General features: G+C 39.4%; 1 protein-coding gene across 21 annotated transcripts in view; it reads right to left on the bottom strand.

Moving 5' to 3' along the window:
- The window catches only part of DOCK1 (dedicator of cytokinesis 1), a 547089-nt gene that overhangs the window by 200506 nt on the left and 330305 nt on the right, over positions 1-16278 (bottom strand). For all 21 annotated transcript variants that reach the window (XR_007061946.1, NM_001377544.1, NM_001290223.2 and 18 more), the window contains one exon: positions 3902-4003. Coding sequence is in view for 20 of the 21 variants with exons in the window: in NM_001377544.1 (NP_001364473.1) it covers positions 3902-4003 (102 nt within the window). In the remaining variant the exon portion in view is untranslated. The remainder of the gene's footprint in view (positions 1-3901; positions 4004-16278) is intronic.

Here is a 16278-nt window from a genome sequence, read left to right as displayed (position 1 = left end):
TTACACTGTTGGTGGGACTGTAAACTAGTTCAACCAATGTGGAAGTCAGTGTGGCTTCTAGATCCTCAGGGATCTAGAACTAGAAATACCATTTGACCCAGCCATCCCATTACTGGGTATATACCCAAAGGACTATAAATCATGCTGCTATAAAGACACATGCACACGTATGTTTATTGTGGCACTATTCACAATAGCAAAGACTTGGAACCAACCCAAATGCCCAACAATGATAGACTGGATTAAGAAAATGTGGCACATATACACCATGGAATACTATGCAGCCATAAAAAAGGATGAGTTCATGTCCTTTGTAGGGACATGGATGAAATTGGAAATCATCATTCTCAGTAAACTATTGCAAGGACAAAAAACCAAACACCGCATGTTCTCACTCATAGGTGGGAATTGAACAATGAGAACACATGGACACAGGAAGGGGAACATCACACTCTGGGGTCTCTTGTGGGGTGGGGGGAGGGGGGAGGGATAGCATTAGGAGTTATACCTAATTCTAAATGACGAGTTATTGGGTGCAGCACACCAGCATGGCACATGTATACATATGTAACTAACCTGCACATTGTGCACATGTACACTAAAACTTAAAGTATAATAATAATAAAATTTAAAAAAAAATGGAAAGTGTTTTGGCCACTTTCATATTGAAATACGAAATAACATCAAATAATTCTGTACAAAATAATCTTTTATTTAATAGTTGTCAGAGTAAGCCGGGCGTGGTGGCTCATGCCTGTAATCCCAGCACTTTGGGAGGCCATTTGGGAGGCCGAGGCGGGAGGATCACCTGAGGTTGGGAGTTGGAGACCAGCCTGACCAACATAGAGAAACCCCATCTCTACTAAAAAATACAAAAAAAATTAGCCGGGTGTGGTGGTGCATGCCTGTAATCCCAGCTACTCGGGAGGCTGAAGCAGGAGAATCGCTTGAACCCTGGAGGAGGAGGTTGTGGTGAGCCGAGATTGCACCATTGTACTCCAGCCTGGGCAACAAGAGTGAAACTCTGTCTCAAAAAAAAAATCGTTGTCAGAGTTGAAAAACAGTCATATACTCGGTATAGTTAACAAACAGAAACACATTTTACAAAAGTTCTGTCAGATTAACAACAGTAAAAAAGTTCACATACTTTCCAGTCTAAATTTGTGGTATAAAAAACCACAAACGTCATTTTTTTTTTTTTTTTTTTTTTTTTTTTTTTGAGACGGAGTCTCACTGTGTCGCCCAAGCTAGAATGCAGTGGCCCGATCTCGGCTCACTGCAACCTCTGCCTCCCGGGTTCCAGCCATTCTCCTGCTTCAGCCTCCCCAGTAGCTGGGATTACAGGTGCCCCCCAACCATGCCTGGCTAATTTTTATATTTTTAGTGGAGACGGGGTTTTGCCATGTTGGCCAGGTTGTTCTCGAACTCCTGACCTCAGGTGACCCACCTGCCTCCACCTCCCAAAGTGCTGGGATTACAGGCGTGAGCCACCACGCCCGGCCAACATCATTTCTTAATGGAAGTCAAATTGTCTACAAATCATTGATTTTTCTAAACTGTTGTGTCTATGGAAAAACATCCCCTGGGAAATTGGGACCACAACACACAGTAAACATCTGATCCTGGGATGTGAGCAAAGACAGAGGGCACACACTTGGAATTCAGCAAGCTACAGTAATTTTTAAATGCCATTCGGCATCATCGCTTTTCACTTACCTTGAAGGATCCTTATCAATTACAGCACTTAATAGTTCAGATTACATGTTTGCACGTGGGGACTTTTATGAAGTGATTGTTCTGAAAAAGGGCAAAGTACTAATTGGAGTCCTGACTTTTCCAGGTGAGTAATTCTTCTATTTCTGAAGACTTTATTATTCAACCTGGAACGTTATCTGCAAAACTGTTCCTCTAGCTTTAAGCTACAACTATGCTTTACACTGACCAAAGCAGGGGGTCGGGTGTAGTTTAGATTCAATTATGGAATAAAATGTTACAAATGTAAAATTTGATTTCGCTATGCCATGATTTCCAAAGAGTCATGGGATATAAACAGGATACAGGTTACACATTTGAATATACTCCTACTATCAACTACTTATTAATATTCAGGGAAAACCAGACACAGAAATACAAACATATACATATTCTTGTTCCCTTACTTTTATTTAGAGGAAACTGCTAGAGCTTTAAGGTCTAGATCCATTTTTGTTCTCCTTAGAAATCTTGAAGTACAGTCACGTGCTGCGTAATAACATTTTGGTCAATGACAGACTGTGTATATGTCAGTGGTCCAAAAATTGTAATGGAACTGAAACTTCTTATCACCTAGTGACATCATAGCCATTGTATTACAACTGCCTATAGTATTCAGTGCAGTCACATGCTGTACAGGTGTGTAGCCTCGGAGCAACAGGCTAGACCATCTAGCCTAGGTGTGTAGCAGGCTCCACCATCCAGGTTTAAGTAAGGGTACACACTATGAGGCTTGCACAATGATGAAATTGCCTAACGATGCATTTGGCAGAATTGTTAAGCAACACACGACTGCGTGTGTGTGTGTGTGTGTGTGTGTGTGTGTATATATATATGTACATGTATATATATATGTATATATGTGTGTATATATGTACATATGTGTATATATATGTATATATAAGTATAAAAATATTATTTTTTCAAAGGATCATTTCTAATACATAATTTGCTTATTGCTGCCACTATAGATATATAAGAAAACTATGCATTATATATATAGTGGCAACAATAAGAAAATTATGTATTAGAAATAATCCTTTGAAAAAACTCATACAGATCATTCTCTTCTTCCCATTTCTTAATAAGGTACATGTCAAGTGCAACAACCCCTGTTCTAGAAACACTAGTACACTGCCATGTTCTGCAGGTATCTATGAGTATTCTTTTACAGCGGTCCCCATCCTTTTTGGCACCAGGGATCAGTTTCGTGGAAGATAATTTTTCCATGGACCAGGGGGTGGTGGGGCAGGTTTCGGGATGAAACTGTTCCACCTCAGATCATCAGGCATTAGATTCTCATAAGGAGCATGCAACCTAGATCCTTCGCATGCACAGTTCACAATAGCGTTCGTACTCTTATTAGAATCTAATGCAGCCACTGATATGACAGGAGGCAGAGCTCAGGCACTAATGCTCCCTTGCCCACCACTCACCTCCTGCTGTGTGGCCCAGGGATTGGGGACCCTGTTCTACAGGACCTTACAGATCCTTAGAAATGGAATCTTAGAGTTCAAGTCAACATGTAATCACAAAGTCTGCCAACAAGTTTGGTTGCAGCTTTGCAGAGGATATTTGCCATATGGCAATGTAATTTCAGGTCATTAGGGAGGTAGTTCATAAGCAATAAATTCCCCTCTGTTATACTTTTCCTAATTAAGTTGTATCATAGTTTTACTGAGGATGACTAGAGAATTATTTGGAGAAATGCTGATGAGCTTCCATGATTACAGCTAATTAATAATGGAGTACAACTTAAAGCTGAAAAGTCACTCTGGCTTCTGCTATTAAAAAGTCAACCAATAAATGAATAGGAGTTAATGGGAGACTATCCATGGATAACATCTCCAAATTTCCAATTATCCCAAAGCACAGGAGAAGAAACTGTCACCAAGAAAGACAAGAGATTTCCCTGGGCTCAGCCCCTGAGTCATTCTCCATTCAGCCCTAGAAGCAAGTCTGCAAGTCCGGACCCTTGTCTTGTTAGAAACAAGGCTTCAGTCAGACCTTCCCAGGAGGCATTTGAAATCAATCAGAGACAAGTTCTCATGCAAAATCCTATTTTAAATGAATATATTGATATCAGGCTTTTGTCTAAAGTGCTGGCCCTAAAACATGGTTATGTGAACAGGGTGAAAGGGACACTTACTACCACATCAGTCCTCATTTTCCCAAAAGTCTTGATCAAGTGGGCATAATGGTAATCTTCCATTTGTCGTAAAATAGCTGTCATGCAAGCCACGAAGTTTCCCTGTAAATGAATCAAAAGATAGAATTAGATGAGACAGAGCAACACTCATGGGAAAAGCCGAAATCATCCCAGATTCTGGGACTTGAAACTGTCAGGGAGAAGCAACGGGGCATGGGCAGGGAGCCCTGGGTTCTGCTGCCCCTCTCTCAGGGAAGATCAGCATAAGGCATGGGTCACTTCCAACCTCAGGAATGTTTTTTGGTAGGGGGTCCTTAGAATATCAAGTTGAAAGTAGAAAGAAAAGCAAAACCCTTGAGGGGGTCTCACAATGCTGAGGACATGAGTACACAGTAACATGAATGAGAAACACTGGTGCACTCACACTCAGGGCTGTATTTTATTCTCTCTAACTATTAATACCTCAAGTGTTTCCTGATACAGGGTTGTCCAGACTGGAAAAATAAGCTTGAAATACTTTTGCATTAAATACAAGAAAATTAAAGACAGGATGGAAATCATGGGAACTTCTGTTTTGTGCTCTCTTGGAAACTTGCTGCCCTTATTATCCGGCAAAATGTGTGTGCAGCCTCTCCTCTTGGGCCATGGCAAAGAAAGGCCTCTAATTTCTCAAAATCAGCCTGTATCCCCCTGTGCCCGATGTGGAGGCAATCACCACAACTCCACAATGAGTTATGGCCCAATTCTCCTCCCCGAGAAGAAGGACAGGAGGAATGTGGGCTCATCAGAATGTCAAGTGGGAGAGCTGGGAGTTTCTCAGACCAGACGGAGCTGGGTGGAAAGGAAAAGAAGGAGGAAAAAAGAAAGCAACACAGAAAATCAAGAATGGGGAAGGTAAAGGGCCAAAGCTGAAACGTCTCTCCGGCTGTTGCAAATGGAGGCAGCCAGTATGTGTGTGGACGTGGGTGTGCACACGTTTGTTTGCGTGCCCTGAAGGGTGTTTGCTTTGGTGGCGGGTTGTGAGCTAGGCAGTTCTGTTGCCATTAACTGCAATTGCTCACTGCTAGGCTTTGTAGCTAACAACATTGTAAAGCCTTCCTTGCTTTTAAATATTGCCCCCTAAGTTAATGACATTTTAAGAAACACAGGATATATATTTTTTCCCATTAAGCCAGTACAAGTTTGGTAAAATTATAGCATGAAACACACTTTGAGACATGTCCCTATTTTTTCTCTATTAAATGAGCTCTCAAATTGCATTCTTTTACTAACTCTCCTTTTACCAGCAATATATCAGAATGCCTAAATGTCTTTTATATTAATTTGGAATACAGGCTTTACAGTGAAATGTTAAAATCCAATATTTTCTCCAATCCATTTTATACCTATAGTACACATATCTACTTCCAAATGAGTCCTCGAAGGACGCATTACTCAAATTGAACAAACACAATAATGATGATATGATATCTTCCATTTGCCCAGAAATATAAATTATTTGTGAATGATGATAATTGCTGAGATTTAGATTCCAAGTTGGTGTTCAGGGAAACAGCTAAATAATGCTTGTTTTCCATTGAGGCAATGATTAGTAAAATGGCAAAATTTGTGAACTTTTGAAACATATAAATATTTGGCATACCATTCAGCTCAAGAAAGGCTGCCTTTGTATCTTGTCTACTCCTTATGACAATGAGATGTGTCCCGTGGATAATCGTCTTAATAACAACACTGTCACTTTAATAGAATACGACCTCTTTCAATCACACACAAATTTCTCTTCCTGTGCCACTTTACAGGCAGTGAAACTGAGGCTTAGAGGTTTCACTCTCTGAAGGAGTGAATGGCAAAGCTGGGTGTGGAGGCTGTACTCTAGGACTATAAGACAGGTACTTACTGGCTGACCTCATTTCTTTACCCCTCATCCAGATGCACATTTTAACTCTTCCTCTAAGGAATCTGAAGCCACTTCTGATGACCAACACAAGGTAGAGATTCACTTTCCTCTACGCTTGCAGTCATCAGAGAAAGCTGGAAGAGGGTGAGGAAGAAGAGGCTTCGAAGTACTCTGCCCACAATTGACCCTGATGCAGTCGCTGACCCGGACTCTTCCCCTTGAGAGGAGGAGCTTTTCCCGCTGAAGAAGAGGCCTATATCAGCCTAGGTGAACCTAGTAGGTGCTGAAATCAATTTTCTGCAGGTCAAACCAGTTACACAATGGAGACTTACACATTAGAATAAATGAAATCACAAAGTCAGCTATTTATCACCAGAAGCAATGTATCAATGTGCTTAGCTTAAATGATCAGGCTGAAAGTAGAAAGAAAAGCATAATCCTTGAGGGGGTCTCAAAATGCTGAGGGTATGAGCACAGAGTAACACTAATGAGAAACATCAGTGCAGCCAGACTCAGGCCAGATGACGTGAACAGGTGACGTGGACATACTGAATTCAGGCAGCAGACTGTCACGTCATGCGGAGAAATTCATGCAAGGCAACAAATGCCAAAACCGTTGTAACACAGAAAACGAAAAACTGAAGCGAACACAGCAATTTCCATAAAACAAGTCCTGGGAGGATGTAAATGCCCCGTGGGGAAGTCTCTCTGGAAGAGCATATCAGAGAAGGCAACCACGCGGCCCCTTGTTTAACTGCGATGGGGATTAATTACAGGAGGCCCAGAAGGGCCAGAAGGATGGGCCATCTCCACAAGTTAGAGGCGGTGCTGCCGGGCACTGTGCGTGCCCTCTTTACCAAACTTAAGGAAATGTTCCAGAAGTCATGTGCATCGTTCAGTCTTTCCTTTCTTAGCGAAAGTAAGTCTTGCTTTTTCAGCTCTAAGGTGAAGCATGAACTCCATTAGGAAACGGATGATCTGCATATTAAAATTCACTGAAATGCCCCTCCCCTTCCTCCCTGCCCTTTGGGAATGGAGTCCCATCCTTGGGTTATCAGTATTTTTTTGGGCAAATACTGCAGATACCATGAAGCCTTATGGTTTCCATGAACACAGCAGAACCCTGCAGCATATCTGTGGGCTTATAAGGGTGGATAAAACGGGTATTTATGGAAGCCTTTTGAAACCAGTCATTTATTAGGAACAAAAGTGAGCGAGCTCTGTGAAAATAAAACTTTAATTCTGTGTGCTCAGAAGAAAATTACTATTCTGTGCTTTAACTGATTTATTTTAAATGCATTTGGGAGATGACTCCTAAATGAAGCTTTTATCTTCTAGACAATGGGTAGGCTAGCAGGTAGGCTGGGAGCAAAAGCCACTGTGCAGAACCATCCCTGAGCCTGAACATAGGGACTAGGCTCCAGCACCAGCAGCTGAGTAAAAATAAGTCAATAAGTAAAAATAAGACATATTCCTTATAACTTCAAAGCAATGCAAAATGGGGCCACAGAAGTCAGGATATACTTGCAGAAAATTTAAAAACCAGGACACTAAATGCCTAATAAACAACAAAAAAAAGTGAACCTCATTAGTAATCAAAGATGAAAATGATACATCATTATTTGCCTGCCAAAATAGCAAAGAAGTATTTCAATGATGATAATGTGAGCAAGGGTGCAGGGAACGAGGACTCTTGTGTGCTGTTGGTGGGAACATAAATTGCTATAACCTTTTTAAAAAGTGATTTGGAGATAGGTTTGAAAAGTCTTGAAAATAAATACTCATCTCCTAAGTAATTCTACTTCTGATAATCTACCAAAGGAAGTAATTCAAAATAGAAAATTTCATACCCAAAGATGTCCATAGCATTGCTGAAAATTCTAAACATCCACCACAAGAAACTGTGTAAATAATATGATATTTTGTAGGGTTGCAAGATAAAGTACAGGATGCCCAGTTCCATTTGAATCTCAGATAAACAAAGAAAAATAAATATGTCCCAAACGTTGCAATGAAATATTACATGAGAGATACATATACTAGAAAAAAAAAACTGTTGTTTACCTGAAGTTCAAGCTGAACTGGGGGTCCTATATTTTTATTTGGCAAGTCAAGCAATCATAACTTGTGTTATGATGAAATATTGTGCAACCATTAAATCAAGAAACATTATGCAAATATGGAATATTTTAATAGCATGAGAAAATAATTGAAGAGGAAAACTGCAGTAATTATGTATACACATTTGACCAATATAAAGAATATATAGTACAAGAAAAACAAAAAATGACTAGAAAAGATACCAGATAGTCATGAGTGGAGGGAGACTAAGCCCAGATTGTTTTTATAAAGAGAAAGTATGTTAATATTTTTAAAGGTGGTCCAGAAAGAAAAGGATCCATCTGGCAGGAGGGACAAACTCTCCCTGCCTGCCCCTGATCTAGTTCCATTTCTTAAGCTCCTGTCTTAAAAAATCTCTCTCGCAGGGCTCCCCCTGTTGGTGTGGCCTTGGCTACTGCCTGGCACTGCTCCTGGAGGGAGCCCTGGACAGAAGTCGTCCCCGCACACCCCCAGCCCTCCTGGAAGTACCTCAGTGCCCCAGTTTTAAATGTGTTTGGGCCCCCATTTCACTAGGTAGGTTGATAGGAAAAATGGAGAACAGGTAGAACTGAGCACAGGTAGAAGGAAGGGCAGGTGGAATTGAGCACAAGTAGAACTGAGGCTGGGTAGAAGGAAAGGCAGGTGGAACTGGGCACAGGTGGAAGTGAGTCTCAGTAGAAGGAAAACAGCACAGGTAGAATGGGGTGCTGGTGGTGGAGCAGGGGGACATTCAGTGACAGGCAAGTTGAATGCAGGATGTCATTGCAGGATATAAAAACAAAAGGCTAACAAAAGCACAGACTGGTGAATGGAAACTCAGGATGAGACATATCTTTTAAACAGTGCCTTTGTCAACTATGCCTAGTGGAAGGTCTAAGTATGAATTAGAAGAAAAAAATCCAAAGGGTTTTAATTCATATTCTTGAGGAGCTGTGAAGGTGTAATAAAAATGGACTTAGCCATGTGACTTGGATAGCAGGGTATAAAATTGCTCCTGGTAATTTCATCAGCCAGACAAGAGCTGTCTCAATCGACCCTGGAGCTCACACTTTGTACAAAGCACAGATTTGCTCTCTGGGACACACAACACAGGCAGAAATTTTAACGTTCTTCTAAGTTCTCTAAATTCCAAAGGATCTCTGGGCAGTTCCCAGCCTCAGAAGCTGTTGGAGCTGTAAACAGAGACACAGGAGTGACGAGTGTGGACGGTAGGTGCCCGGTTTCAATAAAAGGAGAACCCTGAAGACTGAATCCGGGATTATGCTTCATGATTTCAACTGAGGTCTTGTTACAAAGTTTAACCGTGTTTTCACTAAGGCAAGGACTTTGAAGAGGAAATCTCACTCAAATGCTTAAATTTCAAATATATTAATGAAAATAAACCCATCTTATAATCATCATAAAAAGCAATGAAAATGAATTATCCAGTAACATTTTAAAATATATTACTAAACAACAACAACAAAAAAAACATAATGGTGATGACTTCTGGATGATTTTTCTTTTGGGGCGCATTCAAGCCAAAGAATCAATACTGTAAAGCAATATTATGAAGAAGAGAATATAGGAAAAGGGAATGTAACTGAGAGTCAAGTCCTTCTTTAAAATGATTTGAAATAAATCCAAGTATGAGTGAGTTCTTAGAGCTGATAAGATAGAAGGCCAACAGAGCACAATGGCTTTCTCTTTTGTAGAGGGAAAGCCAATGGCAAAATGTTCATAGGTGGTATTTTCTGTGAGAAAATATGAAAGAGAAAAACAGGGAGTCCAAAAAACAAACAAAACCTCAAAATGTTATAAATTAGCCCCAAACTCCTGCAAAGTCTGCACAGAGCTGAAGTTTTTCAAAATATACTTAGGGGTTGCCTACATCACAAATTAGAAACTATTTAAAACATGCATTCCCAGTTCCTCACATTAAATGACAGTAAGGCACATATTAAAACTGCACAAGCCCACAAGGACCAGGGGACTCTGAGGAGATGCAACTAAAGACAAGAGAATTCTGGAAGCAGGAAAGAGGGTGATGAGTGGGTACCAACTGCCCTCAAGGCAAGAACGTGGTGACATTTAACAGGAAGTCTGTGAATCCCTGGTGCAAAACCCAAGGAAGGCCCAGAAACTGGAGGGTGCCAGGTACTCAGGAGGCTACATGTGAGATGAAAAACAACAGTGCTGATGGCTTTGAAATGTGACCCTATATCCAGTCTGCCTATGCCCAGCATGTCCAGTGAGGGGCTCTCCAACTCACTCCTGGGGAGAGGACCACATGTTTACTCTCTGGACAAGGGAGGTACCTGAAAAGCAGAAGAAAATGACAAGAACCACCTGGAAGAAACACCTGTTTAGTTTGATGTCAAACCAAACAGTATACTCCCCTCTCTCTTTTCTGCTCAGCTCCCAGCATATCAGCAAGGAGGCTTAAACTAACCCCTCCTAACCTTAGTCCCAAACCAAACCTAGAAAGAAGACCAGAAGAATCCTCTTTGGTGAAAATGACCAGCCAAAGAGAACATAAGCACTAATACTAAGCATGGAGGTTCCAAAAGTATGACAGCTCAGCCCATCCAGGCTTGCCATGCAGGAAAGCCCATGCGCCTCCATGCTCTGTGCACAAACTTGGAGACAGAGGGTCTGAGCAAGAGTACTGGGCCTTGTGAAAAAAATTCATCCAGCATTAATAAAGGAGGCCCAAACAAACAAAAACAGAACCCAGAGGAAAGGAAGAACATTTAGAAAATGTAAGAGAAGTAAAAAAACTACAATAATAATAATTATTATTGTTATTATTTTTGAGATGGAGGGTTGCTCTGTCTCCCAGGCTGGAGTGCAGTGGTGCGATCTCAGCTCACTGCAACCTCCGCTTCCTGGGTTCAAGTGATTCTCCTGCCTCAGCCTCCGGAGTAGCTGGGACTAGAGGTATGCCACGCCTGGCTAATTTTTTGTATTTTTAGTAGAGACAGGGTTTTGCCAGGTTGGCCAGGCTGATCTCGAACTCCTGATCTCAGGTGATCCACCCGCCTTGGCCTCCAGAGCATTGGGATTACAGGCGTGAGCCACCGCGCCCAGCCAAAGAACTATAATTACTATCCTCAGGTAGATATGAGATTATATTCATGATCATCATATCTTCCTTATATTCCTCCCCCAGCTTAGTGATTTTCAGGACAAGTCAAACGATTTGCCCTTATAACTATCATATTTCTCAGATTTAAAATAATAACATACTTGGAAAAATCTTGCAAAATTCTATAATCCTTGTAACATTGTTCTTTCACTTATATTTGTTGAAATAGAAATGAGATAGCTTCTCCTTGTTGCTTTGATTTTCTCACACATGTGTTTTCATATTATATAGAATTTCTTTAAAGCTACCTCAAAATCCTTTTAAGATTAAGGGGGCGGGGAGTATAAGAAAGAAAGAATAATTAAAAATATAGAAAGAACGATGTTGTAAAATGAGGACAGAGGATAGTGTGCAGTGCCGCATACATTGAATGTCAGGAGTCATCGCTGTGCCCTCAAAAAGTATGTCACGTTTTATTAATTAAATATTTGATTAAGCATAAGACATAATAAAAAGGCTGATTCAGGTATTATTGTTAAAACTGAAGCTCACCGGAAAATGGGTGTCCATTCTCATCAGTGAACTCATAAAACCTTTCCCATATAAACAACCCATGGTGAAATTGTTCCTTTTTTCATTTAAAGATGAATTCATTCCCATGATGCCTTTATTCAATATATAATTAATTTTTACTCATTTAATCTCCCAAATATTACAATTTCTTTATTTTATAAAGAACTTTAGAGTGAGGAATGTTTGTTAAAAAAAAAAAAAGCCAAAACTATATAAAACAGAAAATAACTTACACTAATGTCATCTTTTAGCTATTTGGAACTACTAACAACAAAATTAAACCTGTATCTTAAATTTAAACTGAGTGCTTAGTTGAATTTATAGAGTACTAGTATCTCATACCATTCCAGGCACTATAAGGAAAGAAATATAATTTAAAAACAAAATCGATTTCATTTTTATAGTGGCAGTAATTGCAGAAGATGTTTATTGGACAAATATACCAAAAGGGAATATCTGGATCTTAAATTACCCATAACAGTTATTTGCTACTTATAAAGTATAATAATTTAAACACATATTCACATTTGTTATGAAGTATAAAAATAAATTATAATCAAATATTACATACAAAATTATAGTTTATGGTGTAATGAGGACTATATACTTTGTTTGCAGCTTCTTAATATAATTCATTTGATCCTAAAGCAAGACAGCAAAGCAGAAAATTTTATACGTTATTTTTATATACTCAATATATCACGTAATAATAGAGCCTTAGAGAGTTTAGAATTTTCGAAGTCTTATCGCATGATATAGAGGATCTGAAAACACACTATAATAGAAACGAGCGTAACTCGGTCTTAAAAAAACTCTTATTATTGAAGAGAAGATCAATATGTCTATACGTGTTTTTAAACTGACTTTCATAGATAAAGGACACTACAATTATCATTGTTATAAATGAAAGTTGAAACTCTTTCTTAGCTAAAATGGAATGCCTTACATAAATCATAAAAGGATACTGTCCTCAACATTGTTAACATTGGTTGGATGATGTATTAAGGAGAAATGTCACACACATCATTAAATATTAAGTATTAAATGTTTATGATGATACTTAAGTATTATAAAGTATTAAAACATTAAATAAATGAATCGTAAGGAGAATAAAAGATACTTTGAAATATGAGATTATAGTAAATAAAAACATAGATAATCTTTTATGGTATTTCTTATAAATATGTATGTACTCATAATACATACATATGTTGTATGCGGTTGTATGCTCAAACACTGCACATGACAAGTGATCATCCAATAGCTTATCTACTTACAACTACATAAGCTACCAAAGTGATTTTAGTCATAAATGCCTAATGCTTATTTTCAAAATCGCCTACTGTGGTGGACTGAGACTCAATTTGTGGGAACCCACGAGGAATTCTGCAGTAGCCCTGTACCTGTCCAGCAGGGTGTGCAGGAAAGCATCAACACAGGAAGCACAACCCACTGAGGTTCTACTTCCACCCCTTGTCTCACTTTCCCCACACCCCAGGGGAAATTGAAGCTTCCCTAAATGGGTCCTTCTAGAATGGGTCATGAGAAATGGAGGGGATAAGGCTAAAATGACAAGAAGATTCAAAACCATGAAGAGCACTGCCAAGTGCAACACTCAACCAACATTCAATGAGTGTGCAGTGTGTTGACATCATTGAGTTCCCAAGAGTAGGTCAGCAGGAGATAAAAACAGCCCCTGACCAGAATGACCTCAGTGGGAGGCTGGGTCACGTCTTTCTTCTAGGCTAGTGGGGCCATGTCAAAAGGACACAGGAGGTGGTGTGGGGAGGCTCCCCTGGCCACGTGTGGGATGCTTGAGACAATCTGAATATCAAAATGAACGATGACAACAAACAAATGTAGCAAATTGAATGAGAAAAAAATCCATGTGTCTACACAGACATATAGGCGACGTGGCAGGGTTGAGGGCAAAAGTAAAGCTGTGACCTACGGAAGACTATGAGCCAAAAAAACACGGAATGAAGAAGAGAACTTGATAACTGAAGGTTTCAACTCCTAAAGGAATGGTTGGTCCAGAGGAGGCTCCTCAATGGGCACTGAAACCTCGAGGTAAAAGGTCTTTGGGGACGAAGACACTCACTCAATCTGAAAACAACACCCTATAGATTCTTCCTAATTATAGTATGGGCCTTTAGGTAGAATGCTAAGCACACAGGATCACTTAAGTAGTTACTTTTTTTGCCAAAAATGTTCCATCATGAGGAAATGAATAGACAGATTCAGAGTATACAGCATTTGACAAGACAAATGGTGGGGACCCTTAAGGTCAAAGGGAAAACCTCACAGGGAAGAGATCTTACATTCTATTCGGGAATCATTGTTCATTTTCATAGGCATCATAATATTCCTGTGCCTACAGAGCAGTTATTCATAGGAGTTGCATGAAGCGAGGAATGATGTGTCCCTGTGTCTGTGACCAACTTTTTGGTATGTCAGAAAAGAAAGTTTACACATGCAGGGATAATGCAGACATGGCAAAATGTTAATATGTAGTGAATTTAGGTGGGTACGTGTGTTTAACACTAATACTGATTCAACATTTTTGTACATATGAAACATCTCAAAAAGCCAAAGGAAAACAGCTTCTACTCACAATCTAGTGAGAAGACTTATATGACAACAATTAATTAAGACACAATGTTACAAATATTATAAAAGGGAGTTATTACAGACTGCCAGGGAATTCTAAAAAGGAGGTATTTCTTTTCCAATCAAAGGAACTATTACTGAATACAATAATAGAACTACAACCAATGATTTAGGTATTTTAACTTGGGCAAAAGGGAGTAGTACAGAGATTTAAGCAGCAGGAATAATCACTCAGAAAAGTATCTGAGGAGCTAAAATATAACTAGAGGGCTTTGTTGCTTTTGCACATAAAGCTCCACCATATGCATGCTTCTTAAGTACGGGAATGGCTTATTTATTTGGACTGTCCACTGTAGAGGTGTATTCAGGTCTTAACAAAATACAGTGGAAGTTGTAAGAAAGAGTACAAATATCTTGCTTCCCTGCCAAATATGGATCCCAACATCACCCTCGCTCTTTTCATTAGTTTATAATACTCTTTGTCTTTTTTTTTTTTTTTCCTGAGATGGAGTTTTGCTCTTGTTACCCAGGGTGGAGTGCAATGGTGTGGTCTCGGCCCACTGCAACCTCTGCCTCCCGAGTTCAAGTGCTTCTCCTGCCTCAGCCTCCCAAGTAGCTGGGATTACAGGCACCCGTCACCATACCCGGCTAATTTTTCATATTTTTAGTAGAGACAGGGTTTCCCCATGTTGGCCAGGCTGGTCTCAAACTCCAGACCTCAGGTGATCTGCCCGCCTCGGCCTCCCAAAGTGCTGGGATTACAGGCGAGAGTCACCGCGCCCGGCCAATATTTTTTGGTCTTAAGGCAAAAGTTATATAGATAAATGATACAAAATTAGTTTAGGAGTCAAGAGTAAAGGTTTCAAAGGCAGACAATTTGGAATAATCACTTGACCAAGGGTACGTTTGCTGTATAAATTTTAACAGGCTATTTAACCTTTCTGAGCCTCGTTTTCCTCATCTGTAAAACTCGGATCATGATTCTAAAATCTGGAATTCTTGAAAAGTTTAATTAGATATGTATTTAAGGATATTTGCACAGTGGCTGGCTACATAAATGAATGGTGGTGATGATGATGGTGATGAAGAATAAAACACAAAACCATATACAGAAGAATATTTTAAAGTCACAAAATTGTATACTGAAACACACAAAACATTGACACGGGAGTCAAATAAGACCTAAAAATTGGAGGAATATACCATATTCATGGAATGGAAGACTCAATATGGTTAAGACTTATTATAAAACTACAGATATCAAGACAGTGTGGTACTGGAAAGGACAGACAGACAAATAAAACAAACTGGCTGCACACATAGGGTTAACTGATTTCAAAAAAAAAAAAAAAAAAAAAAAAACCCGTGTCAAGAAGGATCAATGTGCAAACTGTACTTTCAACAAATGGTGCCGAAACAGTTGGATACCCAAATACCAAGGAAGGAAGGGAAGGAAGGAGGATGGGAGGGAGGGAAGTAGGGAGGGAGCAAAGGAGGGAGGGAAGGAGAGAGGGAAGGAGGGGAGGGGAGAGGGGGAGGGAGGGAGAAAGAAAGGAGCCATACCTTAAACCGTATACAAAAATTGACTCAAAATGTATCATAGATTTAAATGCAAAACTTAAAACAACAAAACTTTTTAAAGAAAACATAGAAAACTTTTGTGACCTAGGCATAGGAATATATTTCTTAGGATACAAAAAGCATGAAACATAAAATTTTAAAATTGATAAATTGAACTTAAATCAAAATTAAAAATTTTTGGTCTTTGAATGACACTATACAGAAAGTAAAAAGACAGACTGCAGAACTGGAGAAAATATTTTTAAAAACACCTATCTGACAAAGGGTTTCCATCCGCAGTATATGACAAACTCTCAAAAACCAATAAGAAGAAAATAACCCACCAAAAATTGGCAAAAAATGTGAGCAGATATTTAATCAAAAAAGGAACACAAATGGCCAAGATGCACATGAAAGCATGGTCTATCTTACTAGTCAATAGGAACACGCAAGTTAAAACCACACTGAAATATAACTATATACCTATTAGAATGGCTAAAATTAAAAAAAAAAACAACCACCACAAAGATGCAGAACAATGGAAACTCATGTTGCTGGTCTGAAGGCAAA

Source organism: Homo sapiens, chromosome 10 (assembly GCF_000001405.40).
Source record: "Homo sapiens chromosome 10, GRCh38.p14 Primary Assembly".
Lineage (NCBI taxonomy): Eukaryota > Metazoa > Chordata > Mammalia > Primates > Hominidae > Homo > Homo sapiens.
Note: the sequence above shows the minus strand (reverse complement) of the source record. Positions and strands in the feature narration are given on the sequence as shown.